The sequence below is a fragment of the Homo sapiens genome, chromosome 11, assembly GCF_000001405.40.
Source record: "Homo sapiens chromosome 11, GRCh38.p14 Primary Assembly".
NCBI lineage: Eukaryota > Metazoa > Chordata > Mammalia > Primates > Hominidae > Homo > Homo sapiens.
The window spans coordinates 133917526-133939153 of NC_000011.10; the positions used below are offsets into that span (position 1 = coordinate 133917526).

At 58.7% G+C, this 21628-nt stretch overlaps 1 protein-coding gene across 1 annotated transcript in view, besides 6 other annotated features; it reads right to left on the reverse strand.

Moving 5' to 3' along the window:
* Positions 1–21628, reverse strand: part of IGSF9B (immunoglobulin superfamily member 9B) — a 60531-nt gene that overhangs the window by 21088 nt on the left and 17815 nt on the right. The window contains exons 4-18 of the mRNA NM_001277285.4: positions 20285–20436; positions 19851–19968; positions 18528–18669; positions 18092–18237; positions 14546–14688; positions 14130–14270; positions 13928–14044; positions 13459–13609; positions 12146–12257; positions 9391–9566; positions 8214–8440; positions 7295–7379; positions 5044–5205; positions 4652–4697; positions 2217–3872 (exon numbers count right to left, since the gene is read on the reverse strand). Coding sequence (NP_001264214.1) covers positions 2217–3872; positions 4652–4697; positions 5044–5205; positions 7295–7379; positions 8214–8440; positions 9391–9566; positions 12146–12257; positions 13459–13609; positions 13928–14044; positions 14130–14270; positions 14546–14688; positions 18092–18237; positions 18528–18669; positions 19851–19968; positions 20285–20436 — 3574 coding nt within the window. The remainder of the gene's footprint in view (positions 1–2216; positions 3873–4651; positions 4698–5043; positions 5206–7294; positions 7380–8213; positions 8441–9390; positions 9567–12145; positions 12258–13458; positions 13610–13927; positions 14045–14129; positions 14271–14545; positions 14689–18091; positions 18238–18527; positions 18670–19850; positions 19969–20284; positions 20437–21628) is intronic.
* Positions 10079–10168: a silencer, noted in NCBI's record as "silent region_4088". NCBI's record gives its function as "represses an Ori minimal core promoter by ATAC-STARR-seq in GM12878 lymphoblastoid cells {active_cell/tissue: GM12878}" and the evidence as "EXISTENCE:reporter gene assay evidence [ECO:0000049][PMID:35858748]".
* Positions 12969–13641: an enhancer, noted in NCBI's record as "H3K4me1 hESC enhancer chr11:133800389-133801061 (GRCh37/hg19 assembly coordinates)". NCBI's record gives its function as "activates a minimal SCP1, AML or CMV promoter by ChIP-STARR-seq in naive H9 embryonic stem cells {active_cell/tissue: H9 hESC(naive)}" and the evidence as "EXISTENCE:reporter gene assay evidence [ECO:0000049][PMID:30033119]".
* Positions 13209–13503: an enhancer, noted in NCBI's record as "tiled region #3502; K562 Activating DNase unmatched - State 20:ReprD". NCBI's record gives its function as "activates a minimal TATA promoter and a strong SV40 promoter by Sharpr-MPRA in K562 cells {active_cell/tissue: K562}" and the evidence as "EXISTENCE:reporter gene assay evidence [ECO:0000049][PMID:27701403]".
* Positions 13289–13583: an enhancer, noted in NCBI's record as "tiled region #9399; HepG2 Activating DNase unmatched - State 20:ReprD". NCBI's record gives its function as "activates a minimal TATA promoter and a strong SV40 promoter by Sharpr-MPRA in HepG2 cells {active_cell/tissue: HepG2}" and the evidence as "EXISTENCE:reporter gene assay evidence [ECO:0000049][PMID:27701403]".
* Positions 16790–17548: an enhancer, noted in NCBI's record as "H3K4me1 hESC enhancer chr11:133804210-133804968 (GRCh37/hg19 assembly coordinates)". NCBI's record gives its function as "activates a minimal SCP1, AML or CMV promoter by ChIP-STARR-seq in primed H9 embryonic stem cells {active_cell/tissue: H9 hESC(primed)}" and the evidence as "EXISTENCE:reporter gene assay evidence [ECO:0000049][PMID:30033119]".
* Positions 17549–18307: an enhancer, noted in NCBI's record as "H3K4me1 hESC enhancer chr11:133804969-133805727 (GRCh37/hg19 assembly coordinates)". NCBI's record gives its function as "activates a minimal SCP1, AML or CMV promoter by ChIP-STARR-seq in naive and primed H9 embryonic stem cells {active_cell/tissue: H9 hESC(naive and primed)}" and the evidence as "EXISTENCE:reporter gene assay evidence [ECO:0000049][PMID:30033119]".

Genomic DNA, 21628 nt, shown 5'->3' on the forward strand with positions numbered 1-21628 from the left:
TACAACAGGGACCTTGAAAGCAATGTGGACCCAAGGGCTAGGTCACATTTCAGTCCTGTGACTACCAAGGTCAGGCTGCAGAAGGCAAGGAGCACAGGGGAGTGATGACATTTCGCTACAAAGCCCCATAGGACTGCAGGGACCTGACCCTGCAGAGGACCCCACTGTCAAGGAAGAAGTGGGGCTCATCCCAACCTTGTACTCCTCGAGAGAGCCTAATACCACGAAGATCTCAAGAAGCTGGTGAGGGGCCAGCCACCCCAGGAGAAGGGATGCTATGCCTGGGGCTGCTGGGAGAATAGGGTGCGGGGGGGCTCTTCCTGGATACCAGAGGGGCCCCAGAGAGGTCCCCAAGGGTGCAGAGATGCAAAGCAGATCTCGGGTGTTCTGGGCCCCTTCGGGGTGCATGCAGGGCCCCAGGGCTTCTGTGGGAGGCCCTGGGTGTACTGGCAGCAGGCTGGCGAGGCTGGCGAGGAGTGAGGAGAGCCGCAGGGGGCTCTAGAGGGGCCGGACATGGGGACGGGGGGTGGGGGGCAGAAGCTGCAGCTAGGCGGTGCCGAGCGTGGCTCGATGTGGGGAACCCAGAAGCCGTGGGGATCGAGGAGCGGCAGCGGCCACCCCACGGGGCGGTGAGGGGACATGGTTTGGATCCCCTGTCCAGGAAGCAATGGCCCGGCCGAAGCCCCGTCCGCCTGCCCGCCCCCGCCCGCCCAGCCGAGGAGCTCCCTTACCTATTGAGCTGAGGAGAGGCTTGTCTCGACAACACTGCCCAGATAGCTGAGATCAATCAGAAACAAAGCAGTTACCAACACCGGCCGGGGGGCACCGCCCACGCACACCCAGAGGGAAGCAGGGAGGGGCACAGCGAGCACCGGACAGGCGAGGCCGGAGCGTGGGGGAGGGAGGAGGAGAGAGACGGAGACCCAGACACGATGGAAGGAAGCAGATGAGCTGAGCGCGCACAAAGCACAGAGACAGGGCGGCCGCGGCACCTCCGCGCACAGGCGGCGGCTGCGGCTCCTCCACCTCCCTGCGCCCTAAGCCCCGCACCCCCTTCCTCGGCCGGCCCCGGAGCAGCCCGCGGTGGGGCTGCGGGTGGGAGGTGACCTTGGACTTCCAGGTACCAGGGAGGGTGGGGGACGGGGCAGGGGGAGGGCGCTGGGCTCCCTCCTCCTCGACCACCTCCCATCCTGCCTTCCACCAGGCCAGCCTCCTCTGGAACTCTCTGCTCCCTCCACAGGCGGCTACATCGAGAAGAGAGACCAAAGGACGGAGCCAGAGAGAGAGAGAGAGAGAAGAGGGCGGGGGACGGGGTATCCGGGGGCACTACAGAGGCGTGGCCGGCTCTTCCGAACCCAAAGGCGATGGTGAGGAAGGAAGATAGGAGAGAGAAAGACTGACTGGAGAAGGAAGGAGGGGCAGGGGGAGGAGGAGCGGGGACGGCAGGGAAGAAGGATGAGAGAAGAAGAGGCACAGGCAGGCGTCCAGGCCCTGGTACCTGGAATACCAGCTGCTACAGTTTAGAGAGTGCTCTCTCAGGCGGGCTGGTCGCGGGAGCTGGTCTGTCTCTCTGCAGCTTCCTGCGAGGTATACGGGGGGGGGGTGGGGGACGTGTCCTGCACATGGTCACAAGGCCTGACCCTTTTCTCTGGGCCTCCAGGAGAGGCTGAGGAGGGGGCTGGAGTCCGGCGCTCACTAGGGCTGCTAAGGGCCAGGAGTTCGGGAACAGGAGGCCCCTGGCCTGGTGGTCTGGAGAAGTCAGGCTCCGGGGTCCTGCTTAGCAAGCAGCAGGGGCCGGGGAAGAAAAGGAGGCTAGACACGAGGTGTGTGGGCAACCCCCAGGACCCCTGCCCGATGCCAGGACCGCAGGGACTCGGAGAGCCGTCAACTCCAAGAGGGACGGGGTCCACCCCCGCAAGGGCACGCGCTGTGATCCGCCGCTCCCTGGTAGGTGGTGCGCCCGCCGAGAGCTCAGGGCTTGCCGGAGAAGACGCCTCATGCTCCCGGCAGGGCACCTGGGCAGGTGGGCCCGCTGCGCCCCAGCGACTGCACCCCGCCCAAACCGCGGCGGCCAGAACTCCTCTCCGAGGGACGCCGGTGCGGCATGTCCGCACGAGCCCTGTCGCCGGGCGGATGGACGGGGTGGAGGGCAGGGCGAGGCGGGTGGGGGAAGGAAGTTGCCCAGGTGCGGGTGGCGGAAGAGGCGGCGCACTCACCCTGAAGTAGGTAACGTGGGTGGTGGGGTCTCCGGTCGGAGCAATTCCTCCCCCGTCCTTCGAGGGGAAGGCGTCTGTCCAAACACGTCCAAGCTGTCCCCAGGCCCAGCAGGGGCGGGGCCGGGTGGAGGGGAAGGGTAGCCGGTGGCCAGAGTGGTGAAGCCCATGGCGGGCCGGTAGCTGGGACTCCCACTGCGGCTGCTCTGGGAGGGGGAGCCTGTGGACGGCGTAGACTTTCGAGAAAAGCTGACTGCAGCCGGCGGCTGCAGGGTGATCTCTGACATCTCTGCCTGCTGCAGGAGGCCCGGGCGAGGCCGGGCACGGGCGGCGAGCTCAGGGGAGCCGGTGCGGGAGCTGAGGGGGCTTTGGGTCAGAGGTGAGAGCCGGGAGGGCTGTAGCACCACTTGATGTAAACTGGGCTCGGCGCGCCTGGCCTGCCGAGGGCTAGGCCGGGGCCGGGGCTGGGGCTCATACCACCGGGTGTCCAGGCCAAATGTGCTGGGGCCGCCGTGCGCCCCCGGCTCAGCCGGCTCGGGGTAAGGCAGCACAGGTATGCCCATGCCTTGGCTTGTATGTCGCAGCTGCCCTTGGCTTACCAGAGGTTGCATAGGTCTGTCCTGCCACTTGGCGGCGGGGGGCGCTGGGACAGGGCCCCTGCCGGGCGACTTGCCTGCCCAACCCTTCGGTGCCTCCAGAGACAGGATGCCCGGGTAGGCCGCGGGCACCTGCAGGGAGGTGGGGGGCAGTCCTCGGGGGAGGCCGGCCTTGGGCTGCAGACTCTCGGGCACATCACAGGGTGGCAGCTGGTGGGGGAACATCATCGCTGGGGTCTCCAGCCCCCCGAAGGGGAATTCTGGCCGGCCCCAGGGCTCAGGGGAGCGCCCTCCTGTAGGTGTCTGAGTCAAGGGCAGCGTGCTGTTGGATGCATTCTCTCCATTCTCCTCGGGGATGGTGGGGTGGCCAAAGGGCCCCTCGGTGGGCAGGGGCGGGGACGACATGACGGAGCTCAGGGGGCTGCCCACTTCTGGCACGTAGAACGGGGGCGGCTCCACCTCCCCAGGGCTGCTGCTGCTGAGGTACCCATAATACTGGCCATGGTGGAAGGGCCGGGGGGCAGGGGGCCGGGCCTGGCCTGTGGCCTGAAGCCGACCTTCCAGGCCACCGGGGCCCTCCAGCCCGCGGGGCTGGAACCGAGGGCTGTATGCTGGTGGTGGCAGGTAGGACTCCTGGCTGGATGACAGAGGGGTGAGCTGGGACTTCAGGGCGGCCACAGATGTGGGCACCAGTGGGTCCTCGTTCTCCTCGTCCGACTGGCGGAACTCGGGGTACATGTCCGTCTCCTCGGCGAAGGGGAAGCCCTCGATGCGCCTGCTCTTCAGCGAGGGCTCCATCTCGGCAGGGTCCATCACGAAGCGGCCGTCAGGGCCTCTGCTGATGAGCTCGATGGGCGTGGTGGCCTCTGCCTCGGCCTCTGCCTTGGCCACGCTGTACTTCTTGCTGCTGATGGCCCGCTTGGTCTTCTTGTACAGCGACAGCTCCTTCTCACGGGTGGGGCTCAGCATCCTCTTGGCCGCGGGCTGGCCCTGGTCGTCGGAGGATTCTGACGGCGCTCGGAGCGTGCGGATGCTCTCGGGGCTCACCTTGCCAGAGGACAAGCTGCAAGGAGGAGCAAGAGCCGGGAGGGGATGAGGTGGGGCAGTGTGCTGGCCAGGACTTCCTTTCCCTCTCTCGGCAACCACCCAGCACCCAGGATCCTCACGCTCAAGAAAACTGGCTGTGTATCGTGGTGTGAAATGCTTTGGCCAACTCTCCACCGTCTGGACGTGAATCCTCCTTTTTTTTTTAAAGACGGGGTCTTGCTATGTTGCCCAGACTGGTCTTGAACTCCTGGCCTCAAGCAATCCTCCTGCCTCAGCCTCCCAAAGTGCCAGGATTACAGGTGTGAGCCGCCGCGCCCGGCCCCCCCCATCATCCGTCTTTCCAGTGAACACCCGCCTCTTCACTTTTGTGCTGGCCTGCCCCCTCTCTGCTGTGCTCTAAGCACACCTCCAGCTTCATTCCCCTCTTTTCAAGACAAGCAAGCTCACTTTAATATCAACTTAAGCAACACATATTAAGGAGGCAAATCTGCTAGGGTGGGAAAACACTAAAGAAATACATTCCAAGGCTGAAGAGAAACTGATTACTGGCTAATTTGGATCATCTGCACTGCCACTCCCTCTACCAGCGTGGACAACTTACAATTAACACACAGGTCAATCAAGAAGAAATGGCTTAGAAACACTGAGATGGGGCTGGGCAAGTACAATTAACACACAGGTCAATCAAGAAGAAATGGCTTAGAAACACTAACATGGGGCTGGGTAAGGCGAGCGGTCTACCTATGCGCCCCCTGCCATGAACAGCACAATTCTCCCAGGATCTGAGACACTTACGGAGACTCCAGGCTCTTCCTGCAGTGGGTGATGGAGAGTGGAGGGTCTGGAAGGAAAGAGAAGGGGAGAGGCTGCTGAGGCCAAGCCAGCAACCACGCAGCACGCGCATCTGCAGAGGCTGACAGAGCCGGAGCACCACCGCACAGGGAAGGAGCTGCTCACAGTGGGCATCTTTGGCCCCTGCCTTCATGCTAGCTTGGGCCCCAGCAGCCTCTCCCCACCACCCCTGCTTCTTACCCCCACTTTCAAATCAAGTCTCACTGGCAGCTCTACCCACAAGATCTCAATGTCCCTATTTCCAAGGGGGGCCATGCTAAAAATGGTCCACCTCTCTTGATGGGGGGCATTTGAAACCGGGCCAGGGAGAGCAAGGGAAGGGGACAGACACCCACCTTTTTTGCGCTTGAGCTTACGCTTGCGCTGCTTGTTGACAAAGCAGGCAGCCAGGGTGCTGAACAGGATGGCAGCTGCCAAGAAGCAGATGGTAGCTACGATTCCCGCCAGCACAGGCCGCGCCAGCCCATCCTCGGTCAGGTCCGGCTGCGGGAAGATGTCTGCAGGGAGGGTGGGGAGCACTCATGAGCCCATCCTTCCCCGGGACCTCACCTGCTCCGACCTTCAGTCCCCAAGTGTTTCACCCTGCCTTTGTAGAACAGACAGTGTCAAGGCTCGGGCTCCAAGCTGAACTCTAGCACTGAAGAGGTTTGGATGGCGTCACGAAGAGGAAGAAGAGAGGAGAGTCTACAGAAGTCAATCTCTCCAAAGGGTGTAAAGAAGAAAACATCTATGCCTGTCCCCATGGGGATAATGACTTCAAGAGTAATCTATACTTATCTAGGGTTTTGCCTTCTGCAAAGCACCTTCATGCACGTTATCAGCTCTTCTCATGTTAACCCCATGAGCTACACAGAGCACACATACTGTTCTCATTCTCTAAATGAAAGAGCTCTGATCCACTGGGTTAGAGAGACCCGCTTACGTGGATATTGCCATCAGTGCCCAAACCAGAACGCAGCTGCCTGCTCCCAGTCTGGGATTTCCTGCCTCACACCAGTGTCTCTACAAAAGGAGAGCCCAGGTGTGAAGGCAACTTGAGGATAAAATACGACTGCAGGAAGAGGGATTATTACTACAAAATTCAGATCCTCTCCCCTTCTAGTACAGGCATGCAACGTCCTGAAGATTCGCATCCTGGTCATCTCAGGTACGGAAGTACCCTAGAGCTGGCAGGGACAGCAGAGATGGAGCCAAATCTCTCGTTTCACCATAAGGAGCTGAACGTCCTCCTTTCCTGCCCAAGTCTACAGAGCTCGTTATGACCGAGCCAAGACTAGACACCAGCCTACCATCTTATACTCATAGGAAAGTTGTGTCGGTAAGTGCCACTGCTTAGGTTCAGCAAAGGCAGAATCGATAGATTGTAACGTATTTGGCCAGAATTCATTGCTGCATCGATAATAATAATGGATAAAAATAATCCAGATGATGCTGATTGTCTGAGGGGAAAATGAAAGCTACAGCCTTTGGAAATGGGGGACCTAATACAGGGAATGCTGAGGCTGCTGCCTCCTCCTTCCCCTGTGTGGAAGTGTCTGACGAGGCACATTTCCTGCCAGGAGCTGGCATAGAGCTACTGAGCACAGAATGGTCAGGGGTGGGCCCACACAACACCCCTTCTTCAGCTCCAGCCTTGGATGCAAGCTCTCATCCCTGTTCCTCCAACTCTGAGTCTATTCCCCACAGAGAAGTCAAGAAAGACTGTGGGTTCTGCTACCTGTAGGACACAACCTTTTTTTTTTAAAGCCCATTGATGCCTAATGTATAAAGCAGAAATTGCACTCCACACCTGCCCCTGCTCTCGTGCTCCCTGCAGTGTGCCCACACCAGCACTTCCCCAACTCTACAAGTCCTGCTGCATGAGCTCCTCAGACGAGGTCACTGTCACCTGGTCCCAGGGGACTCTGGGTGAGCGGTGCCCAAGGAAATGATGCCATCACTTGCTTATAAGCAAGAGCCTTTTCCCATACCAAGGACACCCCTTCACTGGCGGAGGAACCTGCTATGTCTCAGGAACTATAGCTGGAGAGAAGATGTGTAGAAATGGGACCAGGGCCAAGAGAAAGAAAGATAAATGGAGAAAATGCTAGGGAATTGGCTTTATTTAGCCTTAAAAATCTAGAGAGAGGAAGGAAGGGAGGAAAACACCAAACAACAATTTTCCAAATAAAACCCACATAATTATAAAGAAGTCTATCACAAGCATTTGATAAACATGGTTGACCTGTTGTTTCCTCCGATTCACAGCCCCTCCCCGACAAGAGGAAACTGAAAATGTACAGCAAATAGCACTTCAATCAAGTCCTTTTTGACTACTATAATGAGAAGATTAGTTGAATTTCTTTCTGTGGCTGTCTTATACAAGTGTCAGAAACTCAGCTTCTGAGCTTCACGAAATAGCATGCATCATGGAAATATGGGTCTGGTGGGCTTAAGAAAGGCTATGACTCACGCAGCTGCAACCAGGCACTGCCTTAGTTTCCAATCCAGCTTCTCCTCGTGGAGTAGCCATTTCACAAAATGACCCCCATGCAGCTCTGGGGCTTATGTCCCTATAGTTGCAAGAGCACCCTCAACCCAAAATACCTGTGCTGGAGACGCCGGCGATGTTGCTGGGCTCGCTGATCAGATCCTGCATGACGGCCAGAACCCGGAACTCATACCACGTGTCCTGCAGCCCCAGGGACAATACCCAGTCAGCCGAGGGACCTGAGATGACCACTGTCCCCTCACACACTCATCCTGCACACAGCCTTGCAAAGGGCAGGGCACCCAAAGCACAGGAGGACTGCTAAGTGTCTAATGCTAAGCGATGGTAGCACTGGCCAATTGCTGTGGTGTAAACACTCTTACAATGGCTGACTTCAAGCTACGAACGTGAGGTCACCGAAAGCGTTGGGAAGAGATATGTACAACAGGCTCTCCAGGGCCACTGGGAGCCGACTCCAGCAACCACTATTGATAAATAAGTGTCCAGGAAGGAAGACAGAAAGATAGATGAGACTGTATCTTAGGAAACCAGCTGCTTCCTCTCCCCAGCTAGATATCCAAGTTTAACGGAGCTACTGGAAAAAGAGATAATGCACTTTCTTCCAGGAGCTCTAAATTACTGGAGAAGGGGTTCTTCCCTGGACACACCTAGAAGAGAATTCTTCTTGGAACTTCTCTGCCCACCCCAGGTTAGGCTCAGCAAGGGCTGGGGTCAGTGCTCTGATTACGCCTGCTGGCCTCTCAGCCTGCCCTGCCCAGCTTGTAGCGGTGCCGGGACCCTCAGTAGAACACAGGTCCCCGCTGCCCCAGAGCTGGCCCCGAGCCTGTGGGCCATGATCTGAGGAGTCCAGGCCTTGGTAGCGAGTCTGGGAGAATCCAGGACCAGTGGTGAGGAGGTACAGGATGTGGCTGGCCTCACACACCCAAAGTTGGTCACTCAAAGCTTCCAGTGCCTCTAGAGTCTTGTCGCTTCCCGGATTTGGGAAGCAGCAGCAAGGAAGAGCAAAGCCCTCACCTGTGACAGATCCTTGGCAAAGAACTCTCCTTCGGTGCCGGGGATGCCATCGTCGAGCAACTCCCAGCGCTCTGCGACACGGAACTCCATGATGTAGCGGTCGATGGGAAAGCTGTGGTTGGCAGGCGGAAGCCAGGACAGGAGCACACCCTGCTGAGTCCGATTGGCTATGAGGCACCTCGGTGGGGTGACCAGCACCAGGGGTTCTGGAGTTGTAATAGGGAATGCTGCGGCGGGGGAAGGAGAAGAACCACAGCGCATCAGCGAGGCCCAGGGCAGCCACCGCACCCCCCACACTCCTGTGCACATGTCAGGGCCCAGAGGGAAGCAGAGTCAGGGCCCGGGGCCCAGGGCTTCAGGGTTCTGCCTTCAGAGTACGTCTAAACATACATGAGGGAATCGTGTACTGCAAAAGGGAAGAGAAATGGGAACTATGGGGAAGGAGGAATAATTAAATGTCATCAAAGTATCTCCTGTGCTCTTCCAGGGAGCTAGGGATATCTTCTTTCTCACAGCACAGCAGTCACTCTTTCCATTCCCTTCTTGGCCGGGGTTTGGGGGTCAACACAAGGCCCCACAGAGGTGCCAAGGACTGGGGGTGAGCATCCCAGACTGCTGTCCACCTTGGCGGCCGCTCAGGAGCGGATTCTGGGAAAGGGGCTGGAGTCGCGCCACCTACACCACCTAGGAAAAGCCTGTTCACAGTGGCCCTTTCTCTGGCTCCAGAGCAGAGCAAACACAACTGTGGCCAGGCAGGGAGGAGTATGAGGCTGCCTCCAGGAAGGTGGCCTGGAAGACTCTGCAGCGGGAGGCAGCCACATGCCTACCGCCCAGTGACGCTGGGGCCAGAGGCCAGAACCGGCAGGCGCTGCCAAGGAGGGAGGATGCCCAATCTCCCCTGAAAGCAAACATGTGGCCTGACAAGGAAAGAGAAAATTCTAAGTGTCTTTCTTCCACCTGAAAAAGCAACAGGAATTCGGCCAATGGCACTCTGATGCAGGACCAGCAAACCCCACAGAGACCACAACAAATCCTCACGGGGAGATCAGATGGCACGGCTCTGTGGAGCACTCAGCAAGGTACCGGCACACAGGAGGCCGACTGCTATAGCTGCCTGGGCCACCGCCCCCACCACCTCTACAACCCCCGCTCCCAACATCCCACCCCGGGCCCTCACCTAAAGTGTTCACAGTGACCACCTCACTGAAGGCGCTGGTTCCCAGCTTGTTCTGGGCCAGGACGCTGAACTGGTACGCTGTCTCAGGCTCCAGGGTGTCCACCAGCAGCCAGCTGGGTCCTGGCGGCACTGGCAAGGACAGCCAGTCATGGGGCCCAAACTGTGCCCGCTTCATCCTGGCCAAAAGAGAGAGACAGGATAGGGGACGAGGGGCGGGGTGGGTCACACTGGAGAGAAGAGGGTGCATGCAGGGTGCTCAGGGAGAAGGCACTGGTGGGCCTGGCGTTCCTAGGTTCAAGGGCAAGAAGAGGGCATGGCCCAGAGTGGATGCCCTGCCCAGCTTTGGCTGTGCCAATCCTCCTGATGCTGGGTCACCAACCACAGCTGGCATCTTTTCTACCAAAGGGGCCTTTAGGTGCAAGTCGTGCTCAGGACACTGGTCAGATGGATTACCAGCTGCATTGTGGGAGAATCCCACCCTGGTCACAACCCTAAGAACAAGCTCTGCCTTGGGAGAGTAAGGCTCTGGGGTATGGGGATAAGCGGCTCAACAGTGGCAGGATGAGGGAAGGAGCCCAGGACCTGGCTGCACACACCCCCAGGGACAGCTGAAGTAGGGCCTCGGGTAACCCACAGGGCTCATTCATCCAATCAGACTGGAGTCACCTGAGATGTCCAGGGTATAAGACCATAATGACCAGGGGTTTCCCCACAGTGGGGCCAGGATCCCTAAGGCCGTAAGGGTTGGAAGAAGGTCACGCTATGCATGGAGAGTAGGAAGACGGGCCGAGGGTGTTCCCTTGTTCCACAGGCTCCCAACTCCCAGCAAAGCCGGAGGGCTATGGGTGCAGTGCTGCCACGTCACCACAGGGAGGAGACATGGTCCTGTGGGACTGGCCCTCTCCTTGCAGCCCTGAGCTGTAACCTGGTGGGTGCCCTCCAGGATCCACTCCCGGGTCCCGGCTCACTACCGTGCACGCCCAGGAGGGTGAGATGAGGCAGCGGAAAGCAGTACAAAAAGAAGCCGGCGCCAAACGTCGGAGTCAGTGCACAGAGTTAGAGGCAGGCAGAAAGAAAGGAGACCTCCCCAACCTCGGCCCCGCCCTTCCCTGGCCCAGGCAACAAAGCAGCGAGGAGCCACGTGTGGAAAAGCAGTGCAGATGAGCAGCAGCGTGGAGCAGCAGCGTGAAGCAGCACCGCAAGCAGCAGGGGAGCCCCAATCTACACCTGAGCCCCCCATCGTATGCCCAGACCTCCCACCCAGGCATCTCCAAAGACAGCTTGACCACACCAAATGTCCCACCCTGGACACCTAGGCGCTGAGCAGCACCGGTCTCCCAGCAGCCACCGGGCAGGCTGGTTAGGGCCCCCACGCTGCTGCGGGAGGAACAGAGTAAGGGGACGGGAGGTGAGCTGCGGCAACTCCCATCATCCAGGTGCAGTTCTCCAATCAGAATCAAGACACCCAGGACACTCCGCCCGGGAAGCAGCCACCGAACCACCATGATGGGAGACAGAGCGGGTGCCCCTCTCAACTTCCCTCGCTGCTGAGAAGTGGATAAAGGGGTCTCCCTGAACCCCCTGAGCTGCCCCAGGTGCCTGCCTTTTCCCCCTCCCCTCGAGCTCCCCCTCCTCGAGTTGAGCCTGGCTAGAGAGACACCTGCAGGTGAGACAGGTCTAAAAGAAGGCACTGAGGGGCTCGCCCTCCCAGCTCAAGGTTGTCACCCCCGGGGCAGGGCAGGTGGCTGCCACTCTTACTCAAACAGGAGTGTAGGGAGGGGCAGCCCTTGGGGGTGGGAGGAGTCAGCTAGGCTTCCTTCTCCTCCCTTCCTGTGCCTCCTGCCCTCACCCCGCTTGGCACATTTTTGAGATCTGTATCTACCCTAAGGTTTGCGCAAAGACCTCATATGACTGCATCTGGCTAAACTGACAACAGAGGAATGAAAACAATCGAGAAACACATGGTCCTAGAGAGAAAATGCAGGGGCTGACCCCAAGGCTGGGAAGTGAGCATCACCTCTCCACACCAGTTTCTGTGGCCTCTGGGGAAAAGACAGAATAAAAACTAGACTACAGGAGGTGGGGAGGGTGAACACGTACAAATCATAGTGAGAAAGAACCAGTAAGACCTGGTGTTTGCCAGCACAACAGGATTACAAGCAACAATAATGTATCATACATTCTTAAACCACTATGAGTATAATTGGATTGTTGGAACACAAAGGACAAATGTTTGAGGGGTGGATACCCCTTTACCCTGATGCGATTATTACACACTGCATGCCTATATCAAAATATCTCACGTACCCCATACCTACAAACGTATGTACCATGTACCCACAAAAATTACAAATACAAAAATACAAAAAAAATTAGTCTAAAAACTAGACTCTACACTTAAGGCTGGGCAATTTCACAAAGCCCTTGAAGGGCAGGAGTCTCTTCCAGGCTCCAGAGGAATCCAGAGGATGAAGCAGGACGCAAAACGAGGCAGCACGTGAGCAGGGAGAGGGCACAGAGAGGCCCAGACCCCTCAGGCCACAGGGACACAGCCATGCCCAGAGTCCCTTCAGACCCCTCCCGTCACCCACAAGGACCTCATCACTGTCTCAACCCACCTCAGTCTGTGCAGGGCTGGCAGGCCAGGAACTGCAGCCTCCTCCTACCTCCCCCCACCCGGGGTAGCCTGCAGGAAGACCGGGGAGGGGAGAAGCAGAGAGCAAAGCATGCCGGGGTGACTCACAGAGGTCCGTACCAAACTGAGAATGTCTGCTCGTAGCCTCCATCATAGCCTGGTTCCCAGGACACGTTGGCAGTTGTCATGGAGACCTGGACCCGGACACTGCCCGGGGCATGGGGGCTGGTGCCTGGAGATCAAGTGGAGACCTCTCAGACTGAAAAGAACTCAGCCACGTGGCTGGGTGCCCACCGTCTGGCTGTGGGGAACCTGAGAGGCTGAAGCGCATGGCAGCGGAGCACAATACTGCAAGTGAAGGGATGGGGGCGACGGGGATGCTCTCAGGCGCCGACTCCCCTGACCCTGCTTGTTAGTGGGGTTGGAGCAGGAAGCCTGTCCCACTGTGCGGTCTAGTCCAACTAGGAGATCACATAGCATCAGGAATGGGTCCAACAGAAACCAGAGCCCTCCTCGTCCTGGCCCAAATCCTGTGCTTCTCTGGTGAGCACAGAAACACTCTCTCCTAAGGCGGCAGGCACAGCCACAGAGCCCCTCCCGTAAGGTTCTCTGGCCTCAGAAGACAACTCCGTCCCACCCCAATGCTGGCATGTGGGCAGCACAGCACAGCAGTTAGGAGCCCCATCCTGGCTTCGATTCCCGGACCCACTACTTCTTAGCGATGTGACGCCGGAGAAAGCATTCGGGCCACGGCAACCTCTGCTTCGAGGAACCTACACTAGAGAAACCCCAGCTCGCACCTCCCGAGTTGTGAAGGACGAGCTGTGCAGACCACTTGGAACAGAACCTAAAACTGGTGGTAAAGGCTCCAAAAGCATTGGCTGTGACTGTGATTATAGCCGTCAGGACCCAGAAGGACAGGCTGAGAGGGCCCAGGCGAAGGTCCTGGGACACGCGCTTCGGGCAATCGGAAACGGGAACGCCCAGACACAGAACCCCAGAAACTTCCTCCTGCCCAGCCTCCGCACGCCAGGCCTGGCCTGCAGGTCTCAGCTCTGCCCTCATCTGAGATGCTGCACAGTCCCCGTCTCCCTCATTCCAGCCCTCCAGCTCTCCCTAAGGCCCTTAAACTCAAGGCTCTGCAGTCCCTGCCAGCCACACAGCCGCCTCTTTCCCTCAGGTGGGCTGCTGTGGACATCAGGCCTGTCCCCAGAAAGACCTCCCTGAGGACAGGAGCCACGCTGCCCTTCCCCGACAGAGCCCACGGGGGCAAAGGCTGCCGGTGCTGGACGCGGAGTTCAGGGCTGCACTGACTTAGGAAGGGAGCCCGCAGAGTGCAGCGGCCACCAGGGGACGCTCCCAGCGTCCAGCACCCCGCCCCCAGCCAGCCTGCTCTGTCCCCGCCGCCCGGCCCAGCCTTGCCGGCCACGTACCGATGACGGTGAGGTGGGTGCTGGCAGTGATGCTCGTGACCACGTTGGTGGCGACACATTCCCACTCCCCGTGGTCCTCCTTACTCAGGGCACGGAACTGCAGGCTCCCACTGGGCAGGGCACTGTGCTTGCTTCTGCTGGGCTTCCCTACCTTGGTGAACAAGGGGCAGGGAAGAGGGTGGGAACAGAAATGGGGGTTAGGAGAGAAGCCCGAAGCAGATGGGGAGGACGCGCCTGAGACCCCGGCCCGCCCACGCTGCCCTCCTCCCGAGTGCCTGCCGCTCTTCAGGGTCAGCTCACTGCTCGGCATCTAGCCTGGTCAGGGCAGGTCCAGAATAGAACTGCTCGCTGGGCCCTCACACCTCCCCTCAGCCCCGGGGCTCGCTGGGCCCTCAAACCTCCCCGCAGCCCCAGGGCTCCCTGGGCCCTCACACCTCCCTGCAGACCCAGGGCTCCAGGGCCCAGGTACCTTTCTCCAAGTGATGACAGGAAAGGGGTCCCCTGCGGCAGCACAGGGGATAAGTAGCTCCCGGCCGGCCTCCTGCCTGTACTCCCAGCCTGGTAGCACCGTGAAATAGGGGGGGTCCTGGGGAGGAAAGCACAGGCACCCTCGTGAGGCCGGGGATCCAGGTGCCCAGCTCATGGAGGCCGTCACAGCCCTGGGACCTCACCTTCAGGACAAGCCTCGCAGGGGCAGACTGGCCCATGGTCCCCAGAGTGTTGTAAGGCACACAGGTATAAGTGCCAAGAGCCTCCTCTGTGGCCTCCTCAATTCGAATGGAGCCATCCTCCATCAGGGTCCAACCGAGGTTCTGCCAGACACAGACGATAGGGCAGGGAACGCTGGTCAGAGACTCCGCGCTCCATCCCAGGCTGGGTCCCAGCTGGGCCAGGCAGCACGCAGGATAGTACAGGAGCTCCAGCCCGGGGCGGGCGGCACCCGCAGACCCCTACAGAAGCAGCTCTCTGTTTGCCCAGGGCTTTTGGAAGGGGCCAGGAGTCCTGGCAGAAATCCAGAGCCCAGAGGTGGCATCACAGTACTGGGGGGAGCCCTCACTCCAACCCTCAACATGCATCTCTCTAGCACCTTCTCAACCTGCAGGGGACGGCCGTCCTTGTTCCACTTGACCACGGTGGCCGGTGGTTCTGCGTCCACAGGGCAGCGGATGTAGCCATGGATCCCCACGGGCACGTAAATCACAGGGGGCATGTTGAGGACACGCGCTGGGTCTGCATAGAGGAAGCGCAGGTGAGAGAGCAGACAGACAGACACAGGGACAGACAGACAGACACAGGGACAGACAGACAGACACAGGGACAGACAGACACAGGGAAGCCAGGTGGGAGAGCAGACAGACAGACAGACAGACACAGGGACAGACAGACAGACACGGGGACAGACAGACAGACACAGGGAAGCCAGGTGGGAGAGCAGACAGACAGACAGATACAGGGACAGACAGACAGACACAGGGACAGACAGACAGACACAGGGAAGCCAGGTGAGAGAGCAGACAGACAGACACAGGGAAGCCAGGTGGGAGAGCAGACAGACAGACAGACACAGGGAAGCCAGGTGGGAGAGCAGACAGAGACAGACACAGGGAAGCCAGGTGGGAGAGCAGACAGACAGACAGACACAGGGAAGCCAGGTGGGAGAGCAGACAGACAGACAGACACAGGGAAGCCAGGTGGGAGAGCAGACAGACAGACACAGGGAAGCCAGGTGGGAGAGCAGACAGACAGACAGACACAGGGAAGCCAGGTGGGAGAGCAGACAGACAGACAGACACAGGGAAGCCAGGTGGGAGAGCAGACAGAGACAGACACAGGGAAGCCAGGTGGGAGAGCAGACAGACAGACAGACACAGGGAAGCCAGGTGGGAGAGCAGACAGACAGACAGACACAGGGAAGCCAGGTGGGAGAGCAGACAGACAGACAGACACAGGGAAGCCAGGTGGGAGAGCAGACAGACAGACAGACACAGGGAAGCCAGGTGGGAGAGCAGACAGACAGACACAGGGAAGCCAGGTGGGAGAGCAGACAGACAGACACAGGGAAGCCAGGTGAGAATCCAGGCCGGAGGCAGCCCATGCACCAGCCCAGGTGCTCAGAACTTCTGTTCTGAGTGTCTGGAGGCACTCAGATGCACGTCCGAGCCTGCTCCAATCCTCAGTGCCCCTGTCATGCTTCTACCATGGACCTCACCCGTTGAACGAGGTCCTCTCAATGTCCATTTCTCTCTGTTCCTAGACCCCTAGCGTCAAAGCCAGCATTTGCCCACACCCTTCCCCAACAGCTCCTTATCCCAAAGTCTCCTGAGCAACAAGCAGTCCCCGCCTCTACATCCGAAGCCAAAAGAAGAACACTATCATAGGCTTAACCACAAAGGGGGTATTTTTCCTCCCCATTCTGCTGGTTGACCAGCCTTCCTTGGATTCATTTCCCCATCTGATTCTGCAGCTGAAATGCTGAATCAGGCCAGGTGCAGTGGCTCACACCTGTAATCTCAACACTTTGGGAGGCTGGGGTGGGAGGACTGCATGAGGCTAGGAGTTTAAGACCAGCCTGGGCAATTTAGCGAGACTCCAACTCTACCAAAAACATCTTTGAATGATCTGGGCATGGTGGCACACACCTGTAGTCCCAGCTACTCTGGAAGTTGAAGCGGGAGGATCACTTGAGCCCAAGAGTTTGAGTCTGCAGTAAGCCATGATGGCACCACTGCACTCCAACCTTGGTGACACAGCAGGACCCTGGCTCTCGGAGGAGCAACGAGAACCCCACACCTCTTGCAATGCGGGCTGAGTCACCTCCTCTCAGTACTCCCCTATTTCTCCTGAGGGCTACGGAGGAGAAGGATCCAGAACTAGGAAGGCAGTGAGGATGAATGAGCTGGTATCTTTTAAGCATTTTGAGCTCTTCAGAGAACAGTGTTACATAAATACCAGGCCGAGTTATATATTTAGACATAGCTTCCTACTTTTGTATGGTAGAGTTTTTTTTTTTTTTCCTCCAAGGTTTTCAAAGCGTTTATGAATGGGAAATACTCTGAACACTGCTTTTTAGCAGAAATAAAAATCCTTGTCTCACCCACCTGTAAATCTCAACCCCCTGGATTTTCTTTGAAGACAGGAAGGAGGTAAAAAAGGACAAGGGGGAGTGGGTGGTGACGCTGGCGCTGGGGAGAGACAGGGAAAACCAAAACATGTCTCCAGAAAGACAGATGGCCTATGGCTTCGAGGAGGGGCCTTCATCCTGGCCAGCTCGTCTTCCAAAGGCCACCTCCTGTTGGCTCCTCCTGCCCCACCATGGCCAACTCCGTGCCAGGTGGCACAGCCTGCGTCCAGCACAGAGGGACGGGGCGCACCTTTGTGGTGGACGGGTCTCTCCTTCCTGCAGCTCTTCCCCACCCCAGCACAGCTTGGGCACATCCTAAGTCATGTATGAATAACTTCTCAACTCGCTTTTTCCCGCTGCAGGTCTGGGGAGTGAGATCTGTTGTCCTGGACCTCACGGCTCTCTAAAGCTTGGGCCTGGGAATACAGCACATCAAAAGTCCTTTAAGTGGCTGACGGCAGACGCAGAGAGGCGATGCACTCCATAGAGAGGAAAGAGTGAGACTGCGAGGTTAGGGGTCCGATGGCGCTCAGCAGGCGCAGCGTGCTCCACCACCGCGACCAGTGGTGGAATGTCCACATCCAGCTCTGGGCAGCAGTCGGACCAGCTCCACCTCCAGGGCCACCAGCCATCCTCCACTTGTCCTCAGCTCGTACACTGACCCCGGTCTTGTCTCCAGACTGTTCCACTTCTCACCCCTGCCACTCCCTGTCGCTGGGTGTGAGCAATCCGCCCACACCAGCCGGGAAATGAGGGAGAGTCTGTTATCTACAGCAACAATGCCAGCCTTTGTTGCCTGAGTGACAGGGCCATCCACAAATCAAAAGGAAGATATTACTCCTCATTACTCATCCTTCTCTGTCTCAGGGCTCAGCTTGCCAGGGGGCGGGAAAGCAACTGGCGGCTCAGTATTAAAGATCAGCAAGCTGAATGGTGGTGCTTGCACAAAAGCCCTCGAACGTCTGGGTGAGGAGCAGCTCATTCATCTGGATCTCCAGCCACCCAAGGGGAGAGGCCGCGGACGCCAGAGGGAGCAGGCGCAGGAGCTGGAGCACATCGCCCCCGACACAGACGCGGTGTGGAAAGGCAGGGAGTAAGGCTGGGAGAAACCTAACCCTGCATGGGCCTGGGCTATGCTCCATAAGACACCTGAGAAAAGAGCACCAGAGAGCAACTGATTCTGGGCACAGAGGTGCAGGCCAGCCTTCAGCCCGAGGACCACCGTTCAGAAGGAACTGCTCAAAGGTGTCTTCCTGAGTGCAGCCTGCACGGAGCTGATGAGATGTACTGGCTGAACAGCGACGCCTGGCCAGCGAAGTAGGAGCTGCTCCACCCCAACTGTCCAGGGCCTCGGCCTCCTCTCCAGCCATCCCTCCTTCTTCTCTTATTCGCTCCTCCACCTACATGCCCCCAAATGATGCTTGGTCTTTGCTACCCTCCAGCCTACAGTCTGGCTAACACCAAAACCTTCTGGGAGCCCCACCACCCAGGCTCCCCTGCACCCCTACTCACACTGCACGGTCAGGTACGCCGAGGCGGAGGGGGAGCGCCCCAGGCTGTTGCTGGGCACACAGGTGTACTTCCCCGAGTCCTCCGGCTTCACCCGGAAGATGATCAGGGTCCCATCGATTAGGATGCGCACCCTCAGCTTCAGGTCGCTGCAAAGCGGCATGGGGACAGGGGGTTGGGCGAGCAGAAGGGGATCTTGCCGCAGACACACAGTCACCGTCACTGCCCCAGATGTGGCATGGAGAGCCCATGCCCCTGGCATCCCCAGGGCCCCTCCATGCAGACCCTGGCCTTGGCATGTGAGACACACGGACCAGACTGCCCACCTCCCCCAGCTCCAAGAGCCACGGGCAGCCTGCCCGTGCAATTTCTGCTCAGGGGCCCTGCCCGTGGGGGCTGGGGTGGCAACCTCATTGAAAAGTCAGAGCAGGGTGCTCACTTCTGAAAGTAGACGTTCTCGTCCTGCCAGTACCAGGTGTAGGTGAGGTTGCCCGGATACGCCTCTGCCCGGCAGGTGAGCAGAGCATCCTGGGAGATGTTGACGGTGATGTTCTCAGGAGGGGAGACGATGAAAGGGGGCCCTGGGGAGAGCAGGGAACAAACCCCACCTCGCCTGATCAGGGACGGCAGCAGCACCCAGGCCTCCTGGGAGCCCTCAGTGCCTCAGGAAGCGGTGCCCTGAACACTGCGATGGGGGCGGCTGTCATGGAGACACTTCCAGATGCTATCTGTGCTCAGGCATCCTGTCCACCACCCCTGCCCCCGCACCAGGCTCCCCAGACCAGCCGCCACGCACACCCCCTTCCTGCCTGCCTTCTCCCAGCAGAGCCCGAGCCAGACATGCAGCAGGGAGAAAGGCAACTCTTTTCAAATCTAGAGCGAGGAATAGTCCAGTCTCAAGGAGTCAGGGCCGTGGGCTGCTCCCCAGCCAGAAATCAAGAGGGCAGCTGGGGGTGCAGGGGCCGAGGAGTAAGCAGAGGGTGAAAGTCCAGCAGTCCTGGTGCTGGCTGCACAGACAAAGGGGGCAGCTGCGGCCAAGTCTCCCCTGAGAGGGAACAGCTTCCATCCAGGCTGCTGAGGGACCTCTGGCCCAGGCTGCTGCTCGGCACTCAGAGGCAGGAGGAGCATGCAGCCGCCACCAACCCCCACAACCCCCGAGTTCCTCCAGGAGGCAGGGCTGGGGAGGCTAAGCCGGGGGCCGAGTTCAGCACAGGGTAGAGACCCCCCGACCGGGACGCTGCCCCATCCTGCACAGTTCCTGGCCCCTCTCTGGGGACTCTGGGGCTCCAGGCAGGGCAGTCTGGCATCTCCCTGTGCTGACCATACAGACCCCAGCTCTGCCAAATGCCCACTGTGTTATTTAAATGTCTGGGGCTTGGATTGAGTTTCTATCTTTATTTATTGATGCCGTCACTAATGGATAGATGACCCCAGGGAGGTCTCCTCTCCCAGGGAGGCGGAGACATGGGAGAGATGCTATCTGAACAGAAGGAGAAACCAGAAACCCACACAGCAGGGGCCTCTCTGCCACGCCATGTGGTGCCTGGCCACGGCCTGTGGGCCTGGCCCTCTCCCAGGCAGCCGGTGCAGGAGCTCTGACCAGGGCAGCAGGCAGCACACAGGAGCCCCGCACAGGTCCTCATGGCCGCCTGCACCTCCACTAGCCCCAGCTGAGCCCTGGGAAAACGCCCTCCGTAGCTCAGCCGGGCTGGACATCCCCGCGGGAGCCCAGGGTTAAAGAGGCTGAGGAAATGGCTCCTACCTTGGACAAGCAGGTGAGTCGTGTGGACAGCCTCCCCCTGAATGCTGTACGCTCGGCAGGTGTAGGCACCTCTGTCCTCCCGACTGACCGATGTCACTGTCAGGCTGCCGTCACTCACCTGGGAGCCCAAAACAGAGGGAGCTCAGCACCCACGCTCACACCCACCGCTGCTACCCTCAAACACGGAGATGCAGTCGGAGACACTAAGGTGGAGATGACCACAGGGACAGATGCATCTGGGGGACACGAAGGGCAGGTGCCCCCTTGCCCATCTCCCGCCAGCGACACAGAGACGCCTGCAGCTGAGCCAGGCTACGGCTTTCCAGCCTCCTCTGTGCTTGTGCCTGTAGCATCAGGGGTCGGCTGCAGTAGGAGGCTGCCCTGGGGAAACGGGGGAAGAGACCGCAGCGGCCCCAACCTAGAACCACACTCACCTGGTATTTCCCACTAGCACCGAGGAGCGTCCCCTCCTTGAGCCAGGTGACAATGGGCTTGGGGTTCCCAAAAGCTGTGCAGGTCATGGTGATACTACCACCCTCCTTGGCCTCGATGTACTGGGGGGGTGTTTCTGTAAAGGTGGGAGGGGCTGCAAAGGAGACCACAAAGATGAAGGACACGCCATCAGCCACATCGCTGCCCTGCAACAACAGTACCTGCCCCACACATCACCCTCGCTGCGGCTCTGCGGAATGCAAGGACAAAGGAAGGAAGGTGGGGATGGGAAAAACTTTCTGCCTACCAACATCACTGGCAGGGAGACCTGCATCCAAACTCAGGCTGGCTGGGTCCAAATTCTGTATTGTAGCTTATTCCCAGGTCACCGATGTTAACTGAGCATCTACTCTAGGGTGGCCCTTACAAACACTGCCTGCTCCCAGCTCCTCAGGCTTTGCTACCATCCTTCAGTCTTTCCCTTTATGATGATCCATGACACACAGGAGCTCCTACTTCTTGAAACCCAGCTCAGCCAGGCCCCCGCGTTTCCAGGACACTTGCCGTCGGAGCCCTACCAAGACTTAACACAGATGCAGGCCAAGGCTACGCGGAACCTCATTTTCCCAGATTCTGCTGAGAAAATCATCCAGCTTCCTCCCTCTCTGGCTTCCATGGATGAAGGTGGACAGCCCACCCGAAGGCCACTCCCTTCTTCATTTTCCTCTGATCATGTCAGGTCATCTTCCCCCCTGCATTGGAGATTTGATTAAAACTCCATCCTGTTTGGGTAATCGGCTTTTCACAGACTCAGTCCCATTTGCCTGAGCTGCTTGTAGAAGCAATCCGGTCAATCTTAACCCCTTGGACTATCAGTTCCAGAGTCTTCTGAAATGGCAAGGAGGCCCCCAGTTCTGAACTCCAGCCCGGAGGCCCACGGCACTAGGCTGGCGCAGGTCAAGCTGAGCTCATCTCAAGGTACCTGAAGCTCAGAACCCAAGTTCAAGCACTAGCCTGCCACTTCTGGTAGGCTTGACAAGTTACTCAGCCTCTCTGGGTCTTACCTAAATACCTAACTCCCCTACCCTCCAGAAATGATGTGAGGAATAAACATGTAAAAAGGAGCTTGTAAAATGCACCAGTTGCCAGTACCACCGCCATCTCTATCAGCTCTTCAGGAGCCACTGAGGCATTCACGGGAAGCTTTGGGAGGGTCCCTCCTCCCCACACAGCCCTGCCCTGAGAACTAGTCAGAGCGCTATAGGATCTTGTCCTGCCTGTGGCACCAGCCTCCTCTCCCTCCCAGCGCACTCCAACCACACTGGCTGCCTTTGTCTTCCTCAAAT